This window comes from Homo sapiens, chromosome 3 (assembly GCF_000001405.40).
Source record: "Homo sapiens chromosome 3, GRCh38.p14 Primary Assembly".
Lineage (NCBI taxonomy): Eukaryota > Metazoa > Chordata > Mammalia > Primates > Hominidae > Homo > Homo sapiens.
Genome location: NC_000003.12, coordinates 181,088,353 through 181,110,474, shown reverse-complemented (window position 1 = coordinate 181,110,474; position 22,122 = coordinate 181,088,353). Strand labels below are relative to the sequence as shown.

General features: G+C 37.0%; 1 long non-coding RNA gene across 2 annotated transcripts in view; it reads right to left on the bottom strand.

Moving 5' to 3' along the window:
* SOX2-OT (SOX2 overlapping transcript) overlaps window positions 1-22,122 on the bottom strand; it is a 685,549-nt gene that overhangs the window by 631,754 nt on the left and 31,673 nt on the right. For both annotated transcript variants that reach the window (NR_075091.1, NR_075092.1), the window contains exon 2: window positions 21,558-21,598. This is a non-coding gene — a long non-coding RNA (SOX2 overlapping transcript). The remainder of the gene's footprint in view (window positions 1-21,557; window positions 21,599-22,122) is intronic.

The window sequence follows — 22,122 nt, the reverse complement described above, 5'->3', positions numbered from 1 at the left end:
ATCTCTAGGCCAATCAAACTGGTCTACTTGCCATCCTCCAAGCCTGAATGATGAGTATTTACCTCTACACTTTGTCTATATATTATACCCTTCCTTTATCTCCCTACTCAATATGTTTTCCTTTCTTCCTTCTGTGTATGGCAAATTCTTCAGGATGTGGATCCGTTCAGGTCCTTCCTCCTTACCAGATCTTTCCAAAAGCTGAATGAGAAGATGACCAAATATCCTTCCGTGATAAAATTCACAAATGCTTTTTCAATGAGACTCCCCCAACTCCAATAACTTAATTTTGAACATTTTTGTCAAAGAAAACATTCTTTTGCATCTAGCCTCACAATAGGGTAGACGTTGTCACCCATGACATTAAGCCAAATGGTGAAATGGGAATTAGAGCCTCCCCCTAAAATAAATTTATCCTTTTGCCTTTTTATCTTAGATATCTTATCTAAGTAGTTTCCATTTTTACTATAATAATTTTCAGAACTTAAAATGTTTACTTTTCACCTCCCCAGCCCTTCTTTTTTTGGGAGGACCCAGTAGTAGTCTAGAAAATACAGCATATAAAAGATCTGGCTTTCACATTTCAAAAAAACGATGCCACCATTTATTATACTGTGTCATATAACTCCTGTTTGAAGTTCCACATCTTGTTATAAAAATCTTTGCTGATGGTATAGTACTTTATCAATGTACATTTTTGTGATTCTTGATAACTATAATTGAAATAAAAATAGAGATGAACACATGTTCGACTTCATTATAAATTATATATCATATCTTACAAACCCCAAATTGGTTGTCAAAAAGCCATAAAGTGGGAAACCTAAGGGATTTAGAAATGTGTGGCCAAGAACATCTCCACAGTAGAGTAAATAAAACACAAACAGTAAAATGCAAACTTCACACCCACAATTATAGGAGGGAACTGTACAACACAATAACAAGCTAATATTATAGGTTTGTACTTAGGAAAAAGCCTTCATACAACAGTGCTTTTCACATGGAATTTTACCAATTTAACACAGAGAGAAATCATTTCACTCACCCCTAAAATCCACTTACTAATTGAGCAAAATATAGTTAATTTAATAATATAGCCACACGGTAATGTATAGGAGAGAAAGAAAGGTATACATACTTCTCTCTAGGAAAAGATTCAAAACCATTCCTCGCAGCAGCTACAAACAAGTTCAGCCCCCAAAATATAATTAAAAAGAGCTTCTTGAATAATTTTTCACAGAACAAAAATAATCTATAATTATTTATAATTACATATAATAATAATAAGAGGATGTATTAAGACTGACTCTGGAGTTTCTAATTTATATAACTAGATGGATAGTAGGATCATTCACTGAAATAGGAGAGACTAAGGAAGATCAGGTCTTGGTTGGAAATCTGTGAGGAACACATCAACTGTGAATTGCCTTTGGGTCAGCCAAGTGGAGGTGTCAAGGGGACAGCTGAATACATGACTCTGTACTCCAAAGGAGAGAGCATATCTATCTCCTCCCATGCTATCTCCTCCCATACAGAGGACACTGCAGACAACTTTTAAATGGAGTTCTCTCTTACTGGAGATCCCTAACCAGGAAGAAGTAGGTGTAAAAATTGTATTAGACAAGTGAACAGCTAAGAATGTCAAAGAAAGCATGAAAGTGGACTTTTTTTTTTTTTTTTTTTTTTTGAGATGGAGTCTCGCCCTGTCACCCAGGCTGGAGTGCAGTGGCACAATTTCAGCTCACTGCAACCTCTACCTCCCGGGTTCAAGTGATTCTCCTGCCTCAGCCTCCCAAGTAGCATAGCTGGGATTACAAGCGCCCACTACCATGCCCAGCTAATTTTTGTATTTTAGTAGAGATGGGGTTTCACCGTGTTGACCAGGCTGGTCTCGAACTCCTGACCTCAAGTGATCCACCCACCTCGGCTTCCCAAAGTGTTGAGATTACAGGCGTGAGCCACTACACTCAGCCAAAAGGGGAACTTTGAGCTGAATCTTCAAGGACAGTAAGAGATTACCAGGCAAAGAAAAGAACTTAGTAGAGGGGAGAGGGTGCAGAAGACATGGAGGTAACAAAGTTAAGAGGTGTGCAAGTATGAGAATGAAGGGCAATGGGAAGGAATGCCATGAGATGGCAGGACTACAAAATAAGGAAAGATACATGAAAGTCATTCTAGAAAGTTCATATTTTATCCCATGGGAGATGAGAAAGTATCAAAGGTGTTTTCAAACGGTAAGTGGCATAATTAGATGTGAATTTTAGAACAGTAGCTGGGACCCATGTGCTTTCAACCACTTTTCTAGTATTCTGGGAGAAATAAGAATTTTTAAATTGTGGGCCTGTGGGAGGATACGAAGGAAAGAAGTGTTCAGAGAGATGTGGGAGGAAGAGAGATCTATCCCAGAGCTGTGCTGCTCGGCTGCTTCCTCCACAAGACAACAGGCTCGTAGGGTTTATGGTTGAGTATGTGTTGTATATCCCAGGATGCAGGAATGTCAACAGAGTTGCAAGAACCGCAGAAGGCCAGGAGCGAGTGATGATGATCACATTCATCAGAATCAGCGGTGCGCCAAGTTCAGCTGTACGTTAACATATATAATGAGGTTAACATGTGTTGAGCCCTTACTGTGCCCTGTACTGTTTTGAGTGCTTTATATGGATTAACTCATTTATTCCTCATAACAACTATAGATAGATATAATTATCAATCCCATTTTACAGATGGGAAACTGAGACACATACAAGTTAGGAAACTTCCCCTAAGTCTTACAGTTGTACAGAGAGGAACTGGCATTCCAACCTGGGCTAGCCGGCCCTGGAGGCAGTGCTCCAATGCTGTATAAAAGTGAGCTTTGGCTTGTGTCTTAGCGCAGGCCGCTATAACAATATGTCATAGACTGGGTGGCTTAAACGATAGATATTTATTTTTCACAGATTTGAAGGCTATAAAGTCTAAGATCAAGGTACCAACCAGTTTGGCTCCTGGTGAGGGCCCTCTTCCTGGCTTTCAGATGACCACCTCTCTCCATGTCCTCACCTGGCAAAGAACTACTTTGCAAAGTAGTTCTATGTGTTCTGGTCTGTTCCTCTTCTTATAAGAACATTAATCCCATCTTGAGGGCTTACCCTCACCTAAACCCAATCACCTCCTAAAGGCCCTACCTCCAAATACCATCACACTGCGGGGTAGGACTTCAACATATGAATTTGTTGGGACACAAACATTCAGGTCATAAAAGCTTGTTGAGTTTTCTCTCAGAAGGAAAGTCCATGAGCCCACTCACTGAGACACACTGTGCTCAACAGACACCATCTTTTTTTTTTTTTTTTTTTTTTTGGAGATGGAATCTAGCTTTGTCACCCAGGCCGGAGTGCAGTGGTGGGATCTCAGCTCACTGCAACCTCCGCCTCCTGGGTTCAAATGATTCTCATGCCTCAGCCTCCTGAGCAGCTGAGACTATTGTCGTGTGCCAGTACGCCCAGCTAATTTTGTTGTATTTTTGGTAGAGATGTGGTTTTGCCATGTTGGCTAGGCTGGTCTCAAACTCCTGGCCTCAAGTCCCCCCTTGGGCCTCTCAAAGCCCTGGGATTACAGGCATGAGCCACTGCACCTGGCCAATAGACACCATCTTAATACTAAAGAGGGCTGCGGCTGAGGCTGGGGCTAGTGCAACATTTAAAAGGGAACTAGAATGCATAGAACAGAAGGAAGCGAGTCAAGCTCTACTCTCTTTGGGCATTGATGATAAATTCTGTGAGAAGGGTCAGCACTGCCTGACTCATCAAGTAGAGAGAATTTCTCAGACTGTTTTCTGAAAGATTCCAGAGTTTCTGAGGAGAACTGGTTGAAGAGACATATGTTGCCATGAAAACAGAGCATGGGAGTGTTGGGGGAACAGCAGTGGTCACAGTGCTAAAGAAATGTCTGCAGACAGCAGGGATAGACTGCTCAAGTGATTGCTGAGATAAGTCTCACAGTTCACACAGAAGATACCCAGGCAAAGCATGTCGAGGAGGCACTCCAGGGAGAGGAAGGGCTGAGTAGGCACAAAAGTAGTTCTATGTGTTCAAAGATGATGGGCAAATCAACTAATTTCCAATGTCTTCCAAAGTCTTAAATATCCAAATGTCAAAATCTACAAGTTGAACACTATCTCCCTAATTCACGAAATGGCTTTTTCACATGAATTTGGTCCTCATAAGCCCGCTTTTGGTTTCTTTCAGGAGAATGGATAGACAGGCATCTTGATGCATATTTTTTTGTTGTTGCACATTTGTTTTTGTCCTTGATGCACATTTATTTTTGTCCTTAACTTTTTGGAACTTAAATCCATAAATTAAATAGTGATGCTGCATTAAATGCAATTCAGGATGAGCCCAGATGAGACCAGTTTCGGGGATGTGCCACAAGGAGACAGACTCGTATCTCTAATAAATAATGTAATTTGTGTCGTTTTTCCCATCCCTCAGATTAATAAATTCTAAGAGGTAAAGGTATAGCAAGCGAAATCAGAAAAAAAAATTGTTTTGGTGCTAGCTGAAGCCTGCACTGCATTCTCACAGATGCTTTAGTAACATGTAAACTGTTAGGATTAAGTGGCTCCAGCTGGTGATAATTAGAACTAGAGAGAATAGGAAGAGAAAGGGGTGGGGGGAGGTTGTCGGGGAAAGCTCCATTACTCACCAGGAAGAAGCTGATTTTCTGTGTCATCTGTCTCCACTACCACCATCACCTCCCACCTCTCACTCTTCATCTGCCTCCACCCAACCCACCCTCATTCTCCTCTATTGGCAGTGAGGGGCTGGTGGTGCAGCAAGATTAATCCCATCCGCCTTTTGTATCTCCTGTGCTGTTTATGCCAATTCTTTGCCAAAAATATGAAGTTTTTGGTCTGTTTTATTCAACAAATATTATTGATTTAACATATACCAGGCATGGGTAGTTGCTAATGATGCAGCAATTGATAAAGTAAATTTGGCCCCCTATCACACAGCTTACATTCCAGTGGGCGATATTAACAAGCAAATGGTGTGATAAGAGCTGTAATGGCAGAAATAGAGCATAGCACAGGATCATGTAAACCCAGACATGGCAACCCAAGGTGGGCTGGGGGGAGGTGGGGATGGGGTAGGCGATAGTTTAAAGAAGAAGGAGGAAGTGTACAGAGCACAATCCAAACAAGAAACTAAAAAATAAATCATTATAATCAGAATATCCGCTGGAAAACTCCTTGGTGATAAGAAATGTCTCAGACATAACAATTCAAAGATGCATGTGCAAATTCCAAGTGAAGACACCCAGTAGGCAAAGGCAAATATGGGCATGAGATCTAGCAGAAAGTTCAAGTTTGGACACCACGTAGCTTTCTCATTTCCCAGAGGCATTTTTCTTCCTCATAATACTCTTAAGAAATACACTAGTTGCAAAGCAATGGGAATACCTGGGGTTGCTTTTTTTTTTTAAAGAACTGCCACTAATGTGGATGGAGTTTGAGGTTAGAGGCGCAAAATTATGTTTTTCCTGCTGTCATATTATCTTCCTTAGAAAAGCTTCTTTTATTGATGGGCTACTCTGCAATCAATAGAAACCTAAATGAGGGTTCATCCTTTGTCTGGGCAAGTAACTACAAACTTAGTTCTTCATGCTAACAAAGCTTTTTATTTCCTTTGTTGAAAGTTCTTTGTTATCATTTTCTAAGTATAATTGCTATTTACCTATTGACTTGAAAAACAGATTCAGTGTTAGATTAATGCTAGAAAATTAACATTCCCCAAATTTAAACTCCACATCACAAAATTACTAACAAAAATAAATTATTTTATCTCTATATCTTATTTTCATATGGTCTCACACCAATTACAGTAAAAATAGGCATATACATTCTAAATATTCTAATAAAAACTTTTAGAGATTACCAAACAAGTACTTTTATTTTTCCATTTAAAATAGGATAGAATGGATAGTCAAGATCTATCCAGTCTTCTGTTTCACTTTGGGAAAATCCCCATTTGCCTCATATTAGTTTGTAAACATCTCACGTTTTTCCCAAGTCTCAGTAGTTTTAAGTGCAAATGTTACCACCAACAATCACATTTTTAACTATATCTATTTCGTCCCTAAAAAAACTGGTGTTTCTCAAAATTTGATTGAGTCTGATTGAGTCTCAAAATTTGTGTTCCCTTCACCTTGTGATCACTAATCTTTCCCCAGTTTTCTTTTCTGTTCTTTTTGCATGGTGTCCCAAACTTTCACGAAAGGATTCTCTAGATATGAAGCCACTTTTTAAAAGCTGTGCAGAAAGTCACATAAAAATAACAATTCTATGAAAACAATTACAGAGACTACAAATTTTTAATTTTACTTATATATTGATAACTAAAACAGTGAAGCCTCTTTTAAAGAGAAGAACAAAAATTTAAAGAAATTTTAAAAACATTTTTAATTGAATTTGGTAAAATATTAATACTTGCTGATAAGTCATCACTCACTAATTTAATAAACACTGACTAGGCTTCTTCTTATAGGGTTTTCACAACTTACATATGAACAGGAAGCTGTAAGGTCCCTGCCTCACTCTTTCCACTCTGTGTAACTTTTGCACCCACAGCAAGCTTTCAGCACATCCTGAAAAGCAACTAAGCTGTCCTTAGATGATGGCACCACCTGGTGGTTAGTTTACAAATGTGTTAAAGACCATGTCTCTCCCCTCACCACTTCCTTGACTCTTCTTCAAAGACAAATAATCCACTCTCCTCTAAACACTTCTCCCCTTCAAATTATCTCAGGCAGCAACCTTTTTACATTTCCTTTCCTAACTCTTTTCTAATTCTTGCCCTTTTATCTCATATAAATTTATCTTTCTCTTCCTACATTCTCTGTTCAATTTGAGAAAAATAAACACACCAGCCTAATTATAGCAAATAAGCATAAGAAAAGTATACCAATTACACATTTGCATCAAAGAAAAGAAAAGCTATGAGATAAAAGACACAAAGAAATTCTAACAACAGAAGTTTCAGCAGACATTACCCTCTACTGCCTCATCATCCCCAAATTTACTCAGGCACCAAAATTTAAAACAAATAATCTCTCACTAAGTATTTGGATGGCAACAGGTTGCTTTCTAAATCTGCCGTAAATGCGCAGAACTGCAACTAGATACAAGTGGAAAAATTTGGAATTTTGGAGGCTAAACTGGGAATTTAACCGACACTTCTAACATTGTTCCCATAAGGAATTGCTTTCTGAATTCAAATAGTTTTGGATTATGACTTTTTACATGTAGGGATTGCCTATATTTCTAGTTGTGTACCTTGTAAACCAGAGTAAGTTGTTTCCAAACATATCTAAATGAGTACAGCTCAGAGATTAGACTGTAAAACTGAGATAATAAAATTTGGTTTGGGCCAGGATCCCAGCACTTTGGGAGGCCGAGGTGGGTGGATCACGAGGTCAGCAGATCGAGACCATCCTGGCTAACACGGTGAAACCCCATCTCTACTAAAAATATAAAAAATTAGCCGGGCGTAGTGGCGGGCGCCTGTAGTCCCAGCTACTTGGGAGGCTGAGGCAGGAGAATGGCGTGAACCCGGGAGGCAGAGCTTGCAGTGAGCCGAGATCGCGCCACTGCACTCCAGCCTGGGCGACAGAGAGAGACTCCGTCTCAAAAAAAAAATAATAAATAAATAAATAATTTGGTTTGGGCTGGGTGCAATGGCTCACACCTGTAATCCCAGCATTTTTGGAGACCAAGGCAGGAGGATTGCTTGAGGCCAAGAATTCAAGACCAGCATGGGCAACATTGTGAGACTCTGTCTCTACCAAAAAAATGTAAATAATAATAAATATAGCCAGGCAAGGTGTTGCACCCCTGTAGTCCCAGCTGCTCAGGAGATGGAGGTGGGAGGAACACTTGAGCCCAGGAGTTCAAGGACACAGAGAGTTATGACCAGGCCACTGCACTCCAGCATGAATGTAGAGAGAAAGATCCTATCTTTTAAAAAAAAAAAAACAAAAAAAAACAAAGAAAAAACAACACTTTGTTCAGGAAGGATTAAAGGACATACTTTAAAATAGCTAACATTATAGAATATATGATAAATACTAAATACTACTCAGTGTTCAATTTACTCTAACAGGTGAATATTTCAGAGAAATTATACGATTGAACTTATGAGCCATATGTTCATTTTGGGTTTGTTTTCTTACCGGTATTTAGAAAGATATTAATCACAGCCAAAATTTATATTACGAAAAATGAGATGATTGGCTTAGGTGATCTCTGAGTTTACTTCTAGCTCTAAAGGTATCCTACAACTCTGCAATACTCAGAATCCTGTTACAACTGCATACAACTCACAGAAACTTTGTTTACATTTCAGAACCAAAATTAAAATTATTTCCTTATTTACAGATTTTTTCCTATTAAGCAAGTAATTGTAAAATAGTTCTCTTACAGATTGTATCAATATAAAATGAATCTCAGTCCCCCTTGAAGCTATCTTGTGTGATGTTAAACATATACATACTATTATATAGGCCATCCTATAGGTTTATATGTATGTTACAAAGAAGGTGGTCAAAGGTTGGATTTCTGAAAAATTAAACAATAGGCAAGTTGTAAAGAATCTCATCCTCTTATAACTACAAAATATTATAAAATCCTTAATTGTGGTTTCTGCAGGCAGGTGAAAATGTCAGCAGGAGGATGGAGTAGAAAGTACATATGATTAGAAAGAAGTTGCCAGCAAAGGGCCTAACAGCCAACCACCTGTCATCCCAAGGAACTGAGGGAGCTGAAGAAAGGCATCCATTCTCCCATCTATTCCCGAATGCAGACACTAGGTGTCCATGAATTATTAACTCTATGTTGTCCTCACCCATCCTTAGCCAGCTTCTTATCCAAGGCTACACAAGGACCCGGGAACAGGAGTGGGAAATGGGTCTGCCCAAGAGTAGCTCCCTACCTTGGAATCCAGCTGACATGGGAAAAAGCCAAATCTACTGGTTTAGGAACTCTGCTACCAAAAGGAATTTCCATCAGTGAAATTTCAAAATCCTCATTAGTAAGGTGATACTTATACAAATCCACACCCAAATGATAATATAGAAGAGTTTAAGTAAAATACAAAAATATAGACTTGCCACTTGCACTGGGTCATTGAGAGCCTCTTTCCCCCAGGTACACATCCAGCTGGAAAATGAATTGAGTACTTAACTCCTGTGGTTCTTATAGTTCACTTTGTTGGGTTATCTAAGTAAAAACCTGTGGAAGGAGACTCTCCTGCCTACCTGGTTTGAGGCACTGTTTAGGACTAGCTTCCTGCTTGTCCCAAGGACTTAAGGCTCTCAAAGGGCTCAAGCTGGACAAGTTAATCCAGTTTTCCCTTTCTTATGGACTATATTGCTGGAAAACAATTCCCTTTACTTTGGAACATTCCAGTTAAGGAAATTTTTTCCCAGCCACTATCCTCCATCCAGGCTGGCTCAGGTGCTACCTTTGTCAAAAGGGCTCTTCACCCCATACTCACTATTGTATAGATCATCTCTGTACAGTCTCTGTACAAAAAGACTGTACAGTCCTCACCCATATGGGTATCTCTGTACAGTCTTCACCCACAAGGGTCTCTGTTCAACTTCCCTGAAGACAATTATATACCATGAATACACTGATCAAAAGTAGTGTGCATAAGAAATATTCATAATGCTAGGATTATGGGGGAGGGAGAATGTAACCAAAGTATTTGGAATTGAGTAAAACAATAATTTCAAATACAGTAATAATGGAAGAATTTCTCCATATCCTGCAATTAATGGTGGATTTCCTTTGAAATATTCAAGGGGGTGCTTGAAAAGACACAGGTGGGATGGGGCCTTGGGGACTCAAAAAGACCACAGGTGCTCACTAGATCCACCATATGCAGATGAACAATCACATGAAACTCCAGGATAGGCAGTGAGTATTCTTTGAAAACAAAATCACGTTATCACTTTCATAATGTGAAAGCAGGAATTTTAAAGGCCACAAAAATCACAATTTCTATATGGACAAAGAGCCCATCCTTGAGAAGATTAAGTTATTAAGTGCTGTAGATCTTCTCTTCATCTCCCTAAGCATCTACATATTTATTAATCATTTCTTCTCCCTGGTCCTGACACATAAATCACAGAAAAGCCCTAGACAAAAATGGCTGCACTCAGATGGCATTTCTATTGTAAATTATTTGAATCCTTTTGAGTCTACCATTGCTGAACTTATAGTTAAAAATACTGATCAAAGAAGCAGAGGACAGTTACTGGATACATGGGGCCAAAGACTACAGGTAGGAACTCAGATAAGAGATTCAGATAGATCCTCAAAGATAGATTATTGACAATGTCACCTTTATAACTAATAGATAAATAATTCCAGATGACACATGGAAACTGTACTACGAGGGTCTATCACAATAAAATAAAGGTCATCAGTTTAAGTATTTCTTATGACTTTCACTTTTAAATTTGATTTATATTATGTGATATTTGCTAGAAAGTAAGGCCATAGGGGCAAGAGCTTTGTCTGTTTTGTTGGGTGATATGCTTCCTATGTGCTAGACACTGTATATTTTTAAAGTATATTTACATAAAATATACATGTATGTTTATGTAAATTTATTATGTATCTAGGAAAATCTCATATTAGAAGTAAAAAAAAAAATCACAGAAAACTACTGCTCAGTGTAGTGAGGGTTTATCTAAGAAATGAGCTATTCAATAAAACTTTATATTAAAAAAACTTATAAATATCCATATAACTTAAATAGAAGCAAAAGAGATATTCAAAGGATCAGCTGTTGGCTAGATATTTATTGTTAAAATGTAAACTGCATTTATTCATTGAGAGAAATAAGAAAGAAATTAAGCAAGATGAAGCAGATGCACATAAGTTACATGTAAATTTGCTCATAAAAATTATCCCATTGTTCAATAACAATAAGCAATTATAACCATCCATGGGCACATACAGTCTTTAAAATGCATTCTACAAATGAATTCTTAAAGAGACACAGTAAAACTAGTCAAGATTCCACATCATCTAGCTTTACCAAATAATTTCCTCCTTATCTCACTAACCTCACAGTTCAATCCCTAGAAATCTAAAATTTTAGGATGCGTCAGGATCACCTAGAGCCTCATTAAAAGAGATTGCTAGGCACAATACCAGAGATATGACTGAGGAGGTCTTGGTTGAGGATCAAGAATTTGCATTTGTAATAAGTTCCCAGGTAATCCCAATGCTGCTGGCCCAGCAACCACACTTTGAGAACCACTGTCCTAGAATTTTTTTTTATTTTTCAACACATTCATTTTCAAAATCTCAGGGCCCAGTAAGTCATCCTTAGGCCTATGTATTTGATTATATGAATAACAGGTCACAAGTGAAATAGGCTAAAATCAGCTTATTCATATATTCTTTGGGTGAAACTGATCTTCCAAAAGCATCTTTTGCTAAAACAAATTCTTCAAAGAAATTAATTTCTATATTTTTAAAAGCATATTTGAATTGAGATAAATTCCTTCTAACATATGGTACATTATCTTCAGTTTTGAGATCTTTCAAATGCTTACTCTGTGTCTTTTTGAAGTCATGTAATCTTAATATAGCTCAACACTTTCACCTTAAGATCTCAGAGGAAATTTTATTATAGAACATCATCTACTCTAAAAAAATTGTAGAACAAACCGACCTTGACTTCTTTATGGAGAACTTCGTGTAATGTGTCAGTTTCTTCAAAGTATAATAATTGAGTAGAGTAAAGAGAAGATGTCAGTCTTTAAATCAAAATAAAATGAAGCCCTAATATGTTAAACACATCCAGAATAAAAGTAGTGACTTACAGGGGCTATGAATTAATCATAAGCTTAACAAAATCATTTTTAAATAGTAAAGAGTTATTTTAAACAGTAAAAACTTAATATTGAAGACTCTCCCTTTCTTCTGAAGAATGTAACAAGTTTGTATGGCGACTAGAAGCACAGAATTTCTTTAACTCACTGCAAGGTCCATCCTGAGGACCTGTCTTTTCTTGGTACCTTTTAGGAAATATCTAGATGAAAGTTTTCGTGCTATTGTTTGTCCCCCACAGTAAGACACCCCTAAACCCTTTGTAATTTTGTAGCTCCCATTCCTATGGGCTAACAAATCTTACACTATGATGAATGTTCAGTGTTACACTATAAATGTTGGTGTCTTCCCCAAATTCATATGTCAGAACCTAATATTCAATGTGATAGTATTAAAAGTTGGAGCCTTTTGTGGGTATCAGGTCATGAGGGCTCTACCTTTGCGCCTTTTGCTACATGAGAATGAAGCAAGAAGGTACCATCTTTAAAGCAGAGAGCAAGCCCTTGCCAGACACAGAATCAATGCCTTGATTTTGGACTTCTCAGTCTCCAGTACTTTAAGCAATAAATTTCTGTTCTTTATAAATTACCCAGTCTAAGGTTCTTTATTATAGCATCCCCAAATGGACTAAGATGTTTGATGCATCACTGTTTATTTCTCTACAGAATCTTCTGAAGCACCAGATATCCCTGAATTTCCTATGAGTTACTTTAACAATTCTCAAGACAATATTCATCTGTGGAATTGCCTTTTATCTATATTAACCGAGAAACTGCATCAACCATTTATAAGCAGAGTTCCAACATACACATTCACCACTAAATGTTTATTTAACTATTAGCAGAAAGTTAGCAAAAAACCAAGAAACCAAAAATAGCTAAATTTTTAGAATGATCTTTGTGATGAAATTGGCCACTAAGGCATTTGGTCAATTACTTACAGTAGTTGCTTCAAAAGCATTTATTGATTTGGTCTATTGTACATACTTAACAAGTTTCTAATTTAATTAATTAGAAAATTAGATAGGCATGCTGTCTAAAAAAAATTATTTAAAACATCTTTGAATAATCCCCCCAAAAAGCCAGTTTAAATGTACAAGCTATATAATCCAGTGGTTCTTAATTTTAACTGCATATTGGAATTCTCTGTGACGCTTTTTAAAAAACTGATGCCTGTTCCCCACCCCCAGAGATTTGTATGCAATTGGTCTATGAGTGGTATAAATGTGATTCTGATGTGCAATCAGAACCATGGACTTAGTTGAAAGTGTTTATGGATGAATCAAAAACAACCATTTTCCTTAAGTACCAAAATGACTAATTCTTTGTTTCATAATAATTCCTATAATTGGATTAAATCGTATTTTAAACAGGGTAACCATATAACTTATTCTCCATACCAAGACACTTCTGAAAGTGAAAGAGGTTACTATTCATGTTTGGCCTAGGACAGTAGGGATAAACTAGGACTCTCCTGGGCAAAACACAGAGCCTGATAACCACTCTACTTATAAACTATCTTATTTGTATGTGGGATTTTAAAAAAACTGTACAGTTGTAAATGCCAAAAGATTTTAAGGTTTATGATGACAGAAGACAGCTCAAATAACACTTGAAAGGTTAACATCTAGATTCCTGATCTACTAGATAAATGCCTATTTATTTAGGATCACATGTAAAGAGATTTTTGGAGTAAATTAAGATTTGCTGGGAGAGCAAGCTAAAACAGTAGAGATAATATTTTAAATATCATTATTTTTCTGTGCCAACCCCATTTCAGTGGATAATCACATGCAATAATGCTGACTCTTAAAAACGGTAGATTAAAATAGTTCATTTCTGTTTTTAATTAAAATTGAGAAAGTAGGAACTAATAATATAATGCGTGTCAGAGCTGTATGTGTGCAGCATTAAAGATAAGAAGGGGATTGCAACAAGGGCTTGCTTCCTGAGTTCCTTGAAAATTCTCAAGGAAAGAAGAGAGCCTGGAAGCTACTGGCTGCCACACTGGCACATTTTGACATATGAGGCAGCTCTTTTGTTGGTTGAGGTGCCTAAAGCCATTTCTTAGATCCTCTAATCACTCAAGGTCACCAGCAACACTGTCCATGTACATCTAGTCTGAGATTCTCTGCTTTCTCTATAGGATCTGATGGATACAACAGGTTTGGGGTGTTTTTAGTGGTAATTTCTAGTATCAGACCTTACTGCCAGCTGGGCTTGAAGACAGAAAGGGAAGCAGAGCAAGATGATAGGAAAATGTCCCATTTTGCATGAAGACTTAAATGAAAGGGTCACAGGTGTCTGAGCAAAAAAAAAAAAAAAAATTCAGGAAGCAATATATTGTTTTATAAATAAATCCCACCAGATTTTTAGATAAAGTTGATTTACTGTCTCCCCCATGCCCTTCCTGAATTAATGAAGTCCTCACAGTACAGTAAATATAATTTCCTGTTTATTTATTTTACAAAAAAATGTGACATGAGGGTTATCAAGATGCCCCTCTCTGCACAGATTATGAATGTCTTTAAGTGAATGCAAATCTGAATTTATAAGGGCTTTACCTAGTTGCATCAGAACTGGTTGTATTTACTAGTCATGCTATCTTGTGACAGCAATCATGAAACTGAATTCCATGGAAGACTTTATCCATAGCCAGAAACTGGAACAACAGATTTTAAAGTATTCAGATGACAAAGAATAGCTTAAACTTTAAAAACAAACAAACAAACAAACAACAACAACAACAAAACCCTCACACAGTAAGGAATTCTTATTTGCACCCCAGAGCTGTAGAGTCCTTAAGCCCTTAAAGAAGCATTCCCAAAATGCACAGTTTATATCACCAGATGCTTGAAATATTTATTAGTGTTTACCCAGAACAATAGCTTCCTAATCAAATATTTTTGTGGAATGCTGAATAACAAAGTTAAATGGATTTCATAACAGCAGCCTCTTCAAGGTCTAAAATGCACAGTGAATTCCAACAAGTGAGACAGAGGTTGCATGTTTCCATGAGATTATGAGGTTATGGAGTCCTTTTTTTCTTAGGGAAGCTCATGGAACTAAAAGTCTGTAGAATATGATGTAAGACATTCTGCATCATGGTCAATAATTTCTATAACAAGAACCTTTCCTTAACTTTCCTGTTACAACTTAAACCAGCTACTTTTTGTCCAAACTTTGTGGAAATTGAGAAAATTGACGACCAGTCTAGAGGTCTATAGTCAGCAAACTATCCTTTAAGAATTAAAGTGAAAAATGAGATTTTGACAGACAAAATTGAGTCACCACCAGCAAACTTTTAAAAATAGAAATACTGAAATGTATTCTTTAGGCTAATAAAAGGTCCCAGATTGAAGTGCAGAGGTATAAAACATAAACCATAACAATGAAAATGGTAAGTTGAAAGAAGGTTTAATGGAGTTAAAATATACTAAGATCCTTGCATTGCCAAGAAAGTGGTAAAAGCAAAACTTATATTAGACTTTAGTAAATCAAAGTTGCATGTTATAATAGCTACATTTAACATTAAAGGGGAGTAAAAGTATGTATAACTACTAATATAATAAAGGTAAAAATAATTTAAAATACTCAATAAAAAAGAGGCACAAAAAAAGAATTAACACTAGCTTAGTATATATAGTACTTAGTACATGATACAAATAGAAAACACATAGTAAGATAGAAACTTAATTAGACCTCTAATTAGAATAAATGTAAATGAACTAAATCATTCAATTAAAAAACGTCAGAGCAGACTTCCAAAAACACACAAACATAAGCTGTTATGTTTTGAATATACGTGTCCCTCCAAATTCACATGTTGGAACGTAAGATCCAATGTGATACTATTAGAAGGTGAGGCTTTTAGAGTGTGATTAACTCATGTAGGCTTTCCCCTCATGAATGGGATTAGTATCCATATAAAAGGACTTGAGGAAACTAAGTGGCCCCTTTTGCCTTTTTGATTCTGTCACATGAGGACACACCATTTGCCAATTCCACTATGTGCTTTCTTGGAAGCAGAAAGCAGCCCTAACCAGAAATAAATCTACCGGTGCCTTGACCTTCGACTTTCCAGCCTCCAGTATCATAAGAAAATAAATTTCTGTTCTCTCTAAGTTGCCCAGTGTGAGATATTTTGTTATAGAAGCAGAAATGGACAAAAACATAAACTACTTACAAAGGCACATCTTATACATAAGAATATAGAAACAATGAAAGTACAAGTATGAAAAAATAAATGCCATGCAAAAATGTGAGCCCCAAAATTGATATATCTTATACATTAATATATCCCCAAATCAGTCAGTTCAGCAGACTTTAACGCAAAAGTCATTACTGGAGGTGAGGAGACACATTTCATATATAAAGTTTTAATTCACCAAGAAGATTAAACAATTGAACATTTGCATAAACTTAACAACCTAGCTTAAATACGTACAAAGAACTGAAAAGAGAAGTGGAAAAACCTACAATCATAGTGAGAGATTTTAACACACCTCTATCAATAGTTGATAGAACAAGCAGACATTAAATTAGAAGGGATATAAGGAATATGAAGGATTTGAAGAATACAATTAACAATCTTGACCTAATAGATTATCGAACAAGAATCTCAATGTCAAATGCAGTTTTTATTGAGATGAAGAGAGAATGAATTATTTGAAGTTCCTTCCTAAGATGATAGAATGTTGGATTTTGAAAGAACATGAGAGATTACTACTCAGCCTGACAAATAAAGAAAAGCTGACACCTGAAGAGATTGAAAAACTGGTCAAGATCAAGGATGTACATGTGCAAGGAAAGCTGGGAAAACAATTCAAGTCTATTTCTACTGCAGAGCATTTTCCATTTCTCCAAGCGACTTCCCCACTCCTACCTGCTTTTTTGTCGTTGTTGAGATGGAGTCTCGCTCTGTCGCCCAGGCTGGAGTGCAGTGGCATGATCTCAGCTCACTGCAAGCTCCGCCTCCTGGGTTCACGCCATTCTCCTGCCTCAGCCTCCTGAGTAGCTGGGACTACAGGTGCCCACCACCATGCCCGGCTAATTTTTTTTTTGTATTTTTTAGCAGAGACGGGGTTTCACAGTGTTAGCCAGGATGGTCTCTATCTCCTGACCTCGTGATCTCCCCACCTCAGCCTCCCAAAGTGCTAGGATTACAGGCATGAGCCACTGCACCCAGCTCCTACCTGCTTTTTGTTGTTATGGTTGGGAAATTTTTTTAACCAAAAAATACGGAATGTAGAGTTGTGAGACTTGTGTTTTGACTTGCTCTTAAGAACAAGGTCTCATTTTTCAAAAATATCACTGTCTTTATACCTCTTTCTCACAGCACTCCTGCCAGAATTTATACATTTATACATTTGTTGCATATTTCTAATAAATTAACTCTATCATTTACCTTCCAAATTCAGTTTTTAGAAGACAGTATACCATAATTATAAGTAGATAAAGACATACTTAGAGGAAAGTACCAGCTACCCAGTAAATATATATTATCTCTTATATTCAGGGCCTCTGAGTTTCCAAATTGCCCTAAGGAAACTGGTGACAATGAATGCCATCTGTGGAGAAAATCTGCAATAACACACAATTCCATTTCAGTTCTCCAGGGAGTTTTATTCTCATTTTGTCTATTACCTGGTAACCAGGAAAGCATATCACAGAGACACTGTAGGAAAAACAAATGTAAAATATGTGCTTCAAAACACACTGGTACAAGTGATGGCCCTTTCAATATCCATTATTCTTAAATTATTTTCTCTTTAGCAGATTTTAAGTTTTGTAACTGTATCCGTAATAAAAAGTTTTTTTCTTATCATCAAGTACCACATGGGGAGCTTATATTGAGGTCATGTATCATAAATGCTTATAAGGTTAATAAGGACCACCCAATGTATTATTCTAGAAGCATCTTTAACACTTATCCTTTTGTGTAAAACAAACAAAATATTTGTTATGCACAAATATCTCTGGAAGGATTCACAAAAACCTAACAGTGATTAAAGGTAATAGTGATTCCACCTGAGAGGGGAACTTTCAGAGAAAGAGCTTGAAGGCAGATATTTTTATTCTCTTTTGTACTGCTTGAATTTTTTTCCTGTTTTAAAAAGGAGTAAAAATAATCAAGCCGTATCTGTTCACAACTGTATTTTGAATGCAAAAAAAAAAAAATTATACCTAGAAAACCCGATAGACTCTGCTCAAAAGCTCCTAGATCTGATAAACAACTTCCGCAAGGTTTTAGGATACAAAATCAATGTAGAAAAATCAGTTGCACTTCTATGCACCAACAACATCCAAGCTGAGAGCCACATCGAGAACACAATCTCATTCACAATAGCCACAAAAAGAACAAAATACCTAGGAATACAGCTAACCAGAGAGGTGAAGAGCTCTACAATGAGAATTACAAAACACTGCTCAAAGAAATCACAGATGACACAAATTAAAAAAAAAATTCTATGCTTATGGATAGAAATAATCAATATTGTTAAAATGGCCATATTTCCCAAAGCAATCTACAGATTCAATGCTATTTCTATCAAACTACCAAAGACATCCTTCACAGAATTAGAAAATACTATTTTAAAATTCATATGGAACCAAAAAAGAGCCTAAATACTCAAGGCAATCCTAAGGAAAATGAACAAAGCTGGAGGCATCACATCACCCAACCTCAAACTATACTACAAAACTACTGTAACCAAAACAGCATGGTACTGGTACAAAAATAGACACATAGACCAATGGAACAGAATAGAGAGCCCAGAAACAATGCTGCACTCCTACAGCCATCTGATCTTCAACAATGTTAACAAAAATAAGCAATGGGAAAGATTCCCTATTCAATAAATGGTGCTGGGATAACTGGCTAGCCACATGCAGAAGATTGAAACTGGACTCTTCCCTTACACCATATATAAAAATCAACTTAAGATGGGTTAAAGACATGAATGTAAAACCTAAAACTATAAAAACCCTGGAACATAACCTAGGAAATACCATCCTGGACATAGGCACTGGCAACGATTTCATGAAGAAGACAATAAAAGCAATTGCAACAAAAACAAAAACTAACGAATGAAACCTAATTAAACTAAAGAGCTTCCACACAGCAAAAGAAACTATCAACAGAGTAAACAGACAGAATGAAAGAAATATCTCTCAGAGGGGAGAAATATCTCTCACAGAATGTGAGGGAGTATTTGCATATATGCATCTGGCAAAGGTCTAATATCCAGAATCCATAAAGAATGTAAACAAATTAAGCAAAAAACAAACAGCACCATTAAAAAGTGGACAAAGGACATAAAAAGACATTTTCCAAAAGAAGACACACATGCAGCCAACAAGCATATGAAAAAATGTTCAACATCACTAACCATCAGAGAAATGCAAATTAAAACCACAATGAGATACCATCTCATACCAGTCAGGATGGCTATTTTTAATAAGTCAAAAAATAACAGATGCTGGTGAGGTTGTAGAAAAAAGGGAATGCTCATACACAGCTGGTGGGAATGTAAGTTAGTTCAGCCACTGTGGAAAGCAGTTTGGTAATTTCTCAAATAACTTAAAATAGAACTACCATTCAATCCAGAAATCCCATTATTGGATATATACCCAAAGAAATATAGATCATTTTACCATAAAGACACATACACCCATATGTTCATCACCACACTATTCACAATAGCAAAGACATAAAATCGACATAGATACCCATCAATGGTAGACTGGGTAAAGAAAATGTGGTACATATATGCCATGGAATGCTACACAGCCATGAAAAAGAATGAGATCATGTCTTTTGCAGCAACATGGATGGAGCTGGAGGCCATTTTTCTAAGTGAACTAACGCAGGAACAGAAAACTAAACACCTCATATTGTTCCTTATAAGTGGGATCTAAACATTGAGTACACAGACACCAGGGCCTACTTAATGGTAAAGGGTGAGAGTGGGGTGAGGATTGAAAAACTACTTATCAGATATTATGTTTATTACCCTGGTGATAAAATATTTTGTACACCAAATCCCCATGACACACAATTTACCTATATAACAAACCTGCACATGTACTCCTGAAAATAAAGTAAAAATTAATAAATAAATAAGTAAATGCTAAACTATGCATATATCTTTACATTTTCCCCTACCTACCCTTTTAACCACAGATCCCTCCCCCAGACTATATGCATACAGGTTCCTATGATCTCCTTATAAGTGTCATGTGCTAAATAATTATACCACTGGAGATATGTTTCATCTCCTAGTAAGTATGTCTTGGCACTGAGCCTAGATTTCCAAAAGCAGAAAGGAAAAATCTAGTACTCATTCATTCCCATCTTCTCTTCCAGAGCCTCTTTACAGACAATATCTCTTTTCAGATACTCAAAACATAAAATATTAGGAATCACATTCCCTTTCCTAGAAAACAAAGCCCCTACCTAACCATCCCCCCTACCATAAAAAAATTGGCTAACCTCAGGGCCTCCAGGAGACACTAAGCCACATCCCTATCAAAGGGGAGGTGCCATCACATTCTCTTAAGGACTCAGAGTGACTCTGTGGCACCTATAACACTAGCGAGGAAAAATTCAATACTCCTGGATTGGGACCAGCCTCTCCTTTCACACCCTGGAGGTGGAGTTAGCTAGCCAGTTGGGAGACTGGAGCCAGTGGACAACAAATCTCAATTTAGTAAAGCAAATTAAGCCAAGTCCCAAGCAGGGAAGATTAAATTTCATTCTGCTTTTTTCTCCATCCAGATCAGTAGGAGGCATCAACCTAAGAACCTAGGAAATTGTTACTGCTTAGAATACTCAAACTAAGCCAATCTATTGCTGATAACACTGGCAGATTTATTCTCTATCTGCAATATTTTTTGTTTTATTTTTCAGTTGGTTTTGAATTGGGGTAGAGAAGGAATCTGGAATCTACCAAAAACCCTAACAGAAATGTTATCATGTTAAATATATATATATATAGGTGATAAAACATACTCTAATTTCAGAAACATTGAAATGCCTTGGATTGAGGGATTTTGAATCAAAGAAGAAGCATGTATTCTTATAACCCAATCAGTTCATACTCACTCCTCCTTCAGTTGTTGAATTCCCAATCTTGGCATACTTTGTTATCCCAAATCTAGCTACTCCTGCAAGCATGTTTGGTAACTGGTAATCAGATAGTGGTAGACCATATTTCAGTGTCTTAAACAAGAAAAATAATAATCATGCCAACCCATAAAAAATCCTCACTAATCATACCAAATATCAGTAAAACATTCTTAAATGGCTATGTAATAACTCAACAGGAATTTCTACCTGACATAAAATGTTTAATACACCAATAGCCTCATCAATGAAGCCCAATAAACTTATTGGCTATGCCTGTTTGTGAACAGTATGCATGGATAATGGATAGTATCAGGTGAGAATTTCTTCTTCACTATAAAAACATATTTTAAGATAAATAATAAAATAACGTGTCAAAGATAATAAATTGAACCCTAAGTTAGTATCCCCAGGAACCTGGCAGGAGAAAACATGGGGCTGATGGAAAGATAAATCCTCGGATACCATAAAACATATTTAGACAATGGAGCCAAAAAGACATGATCTTACTGAGAAAAAAATCTCAGATGGAGACACTACTCACCCATATTTTCTCTGTCTCTCCTTTCTTCCCTCCTTCATTCACTAAAAGAAAATTGTGGAAAGAGATTAGCATCTGTTCAATGGACCATACCCCAAGCACATTAACTCCTCATAGCATTGTTACAAGATAGGAATGATTGTCCCTAGTTTGCAAATAAAACATTGAGATTCAGAAAGGTTAAGTTACTTGCCCATAAGTCAGGTCACAATGTAGCCAGTAAATGGCAGAACTGAGATCCATGTCCTGTCTGACCTAAAATCCCTAGTTTTTCCCATTAATTCCATCCTTTTAGTTGTTCAGGCCGAAAGTCTTAGAGTCATCCTTGGCTCTCTCTTTCTCTGACAATTCACATCTGACCTCTCAGCAAACTTGTTGGATCTACTTCCAAATATATTCAAAATCTACCCAGCCCCCAGGACTCCTCTGTGACCATTCTGTCCATGCTGTATCATCCTGTCTTCCCGGGATGACTGCAAAGCAGCCTAGTCTCCCTGCTCCTGCCCTTAACCCCTAGTCTGTTTTTAACACATCAGAGTGATCCGAATCTACCCTAAGTCAGGTCATA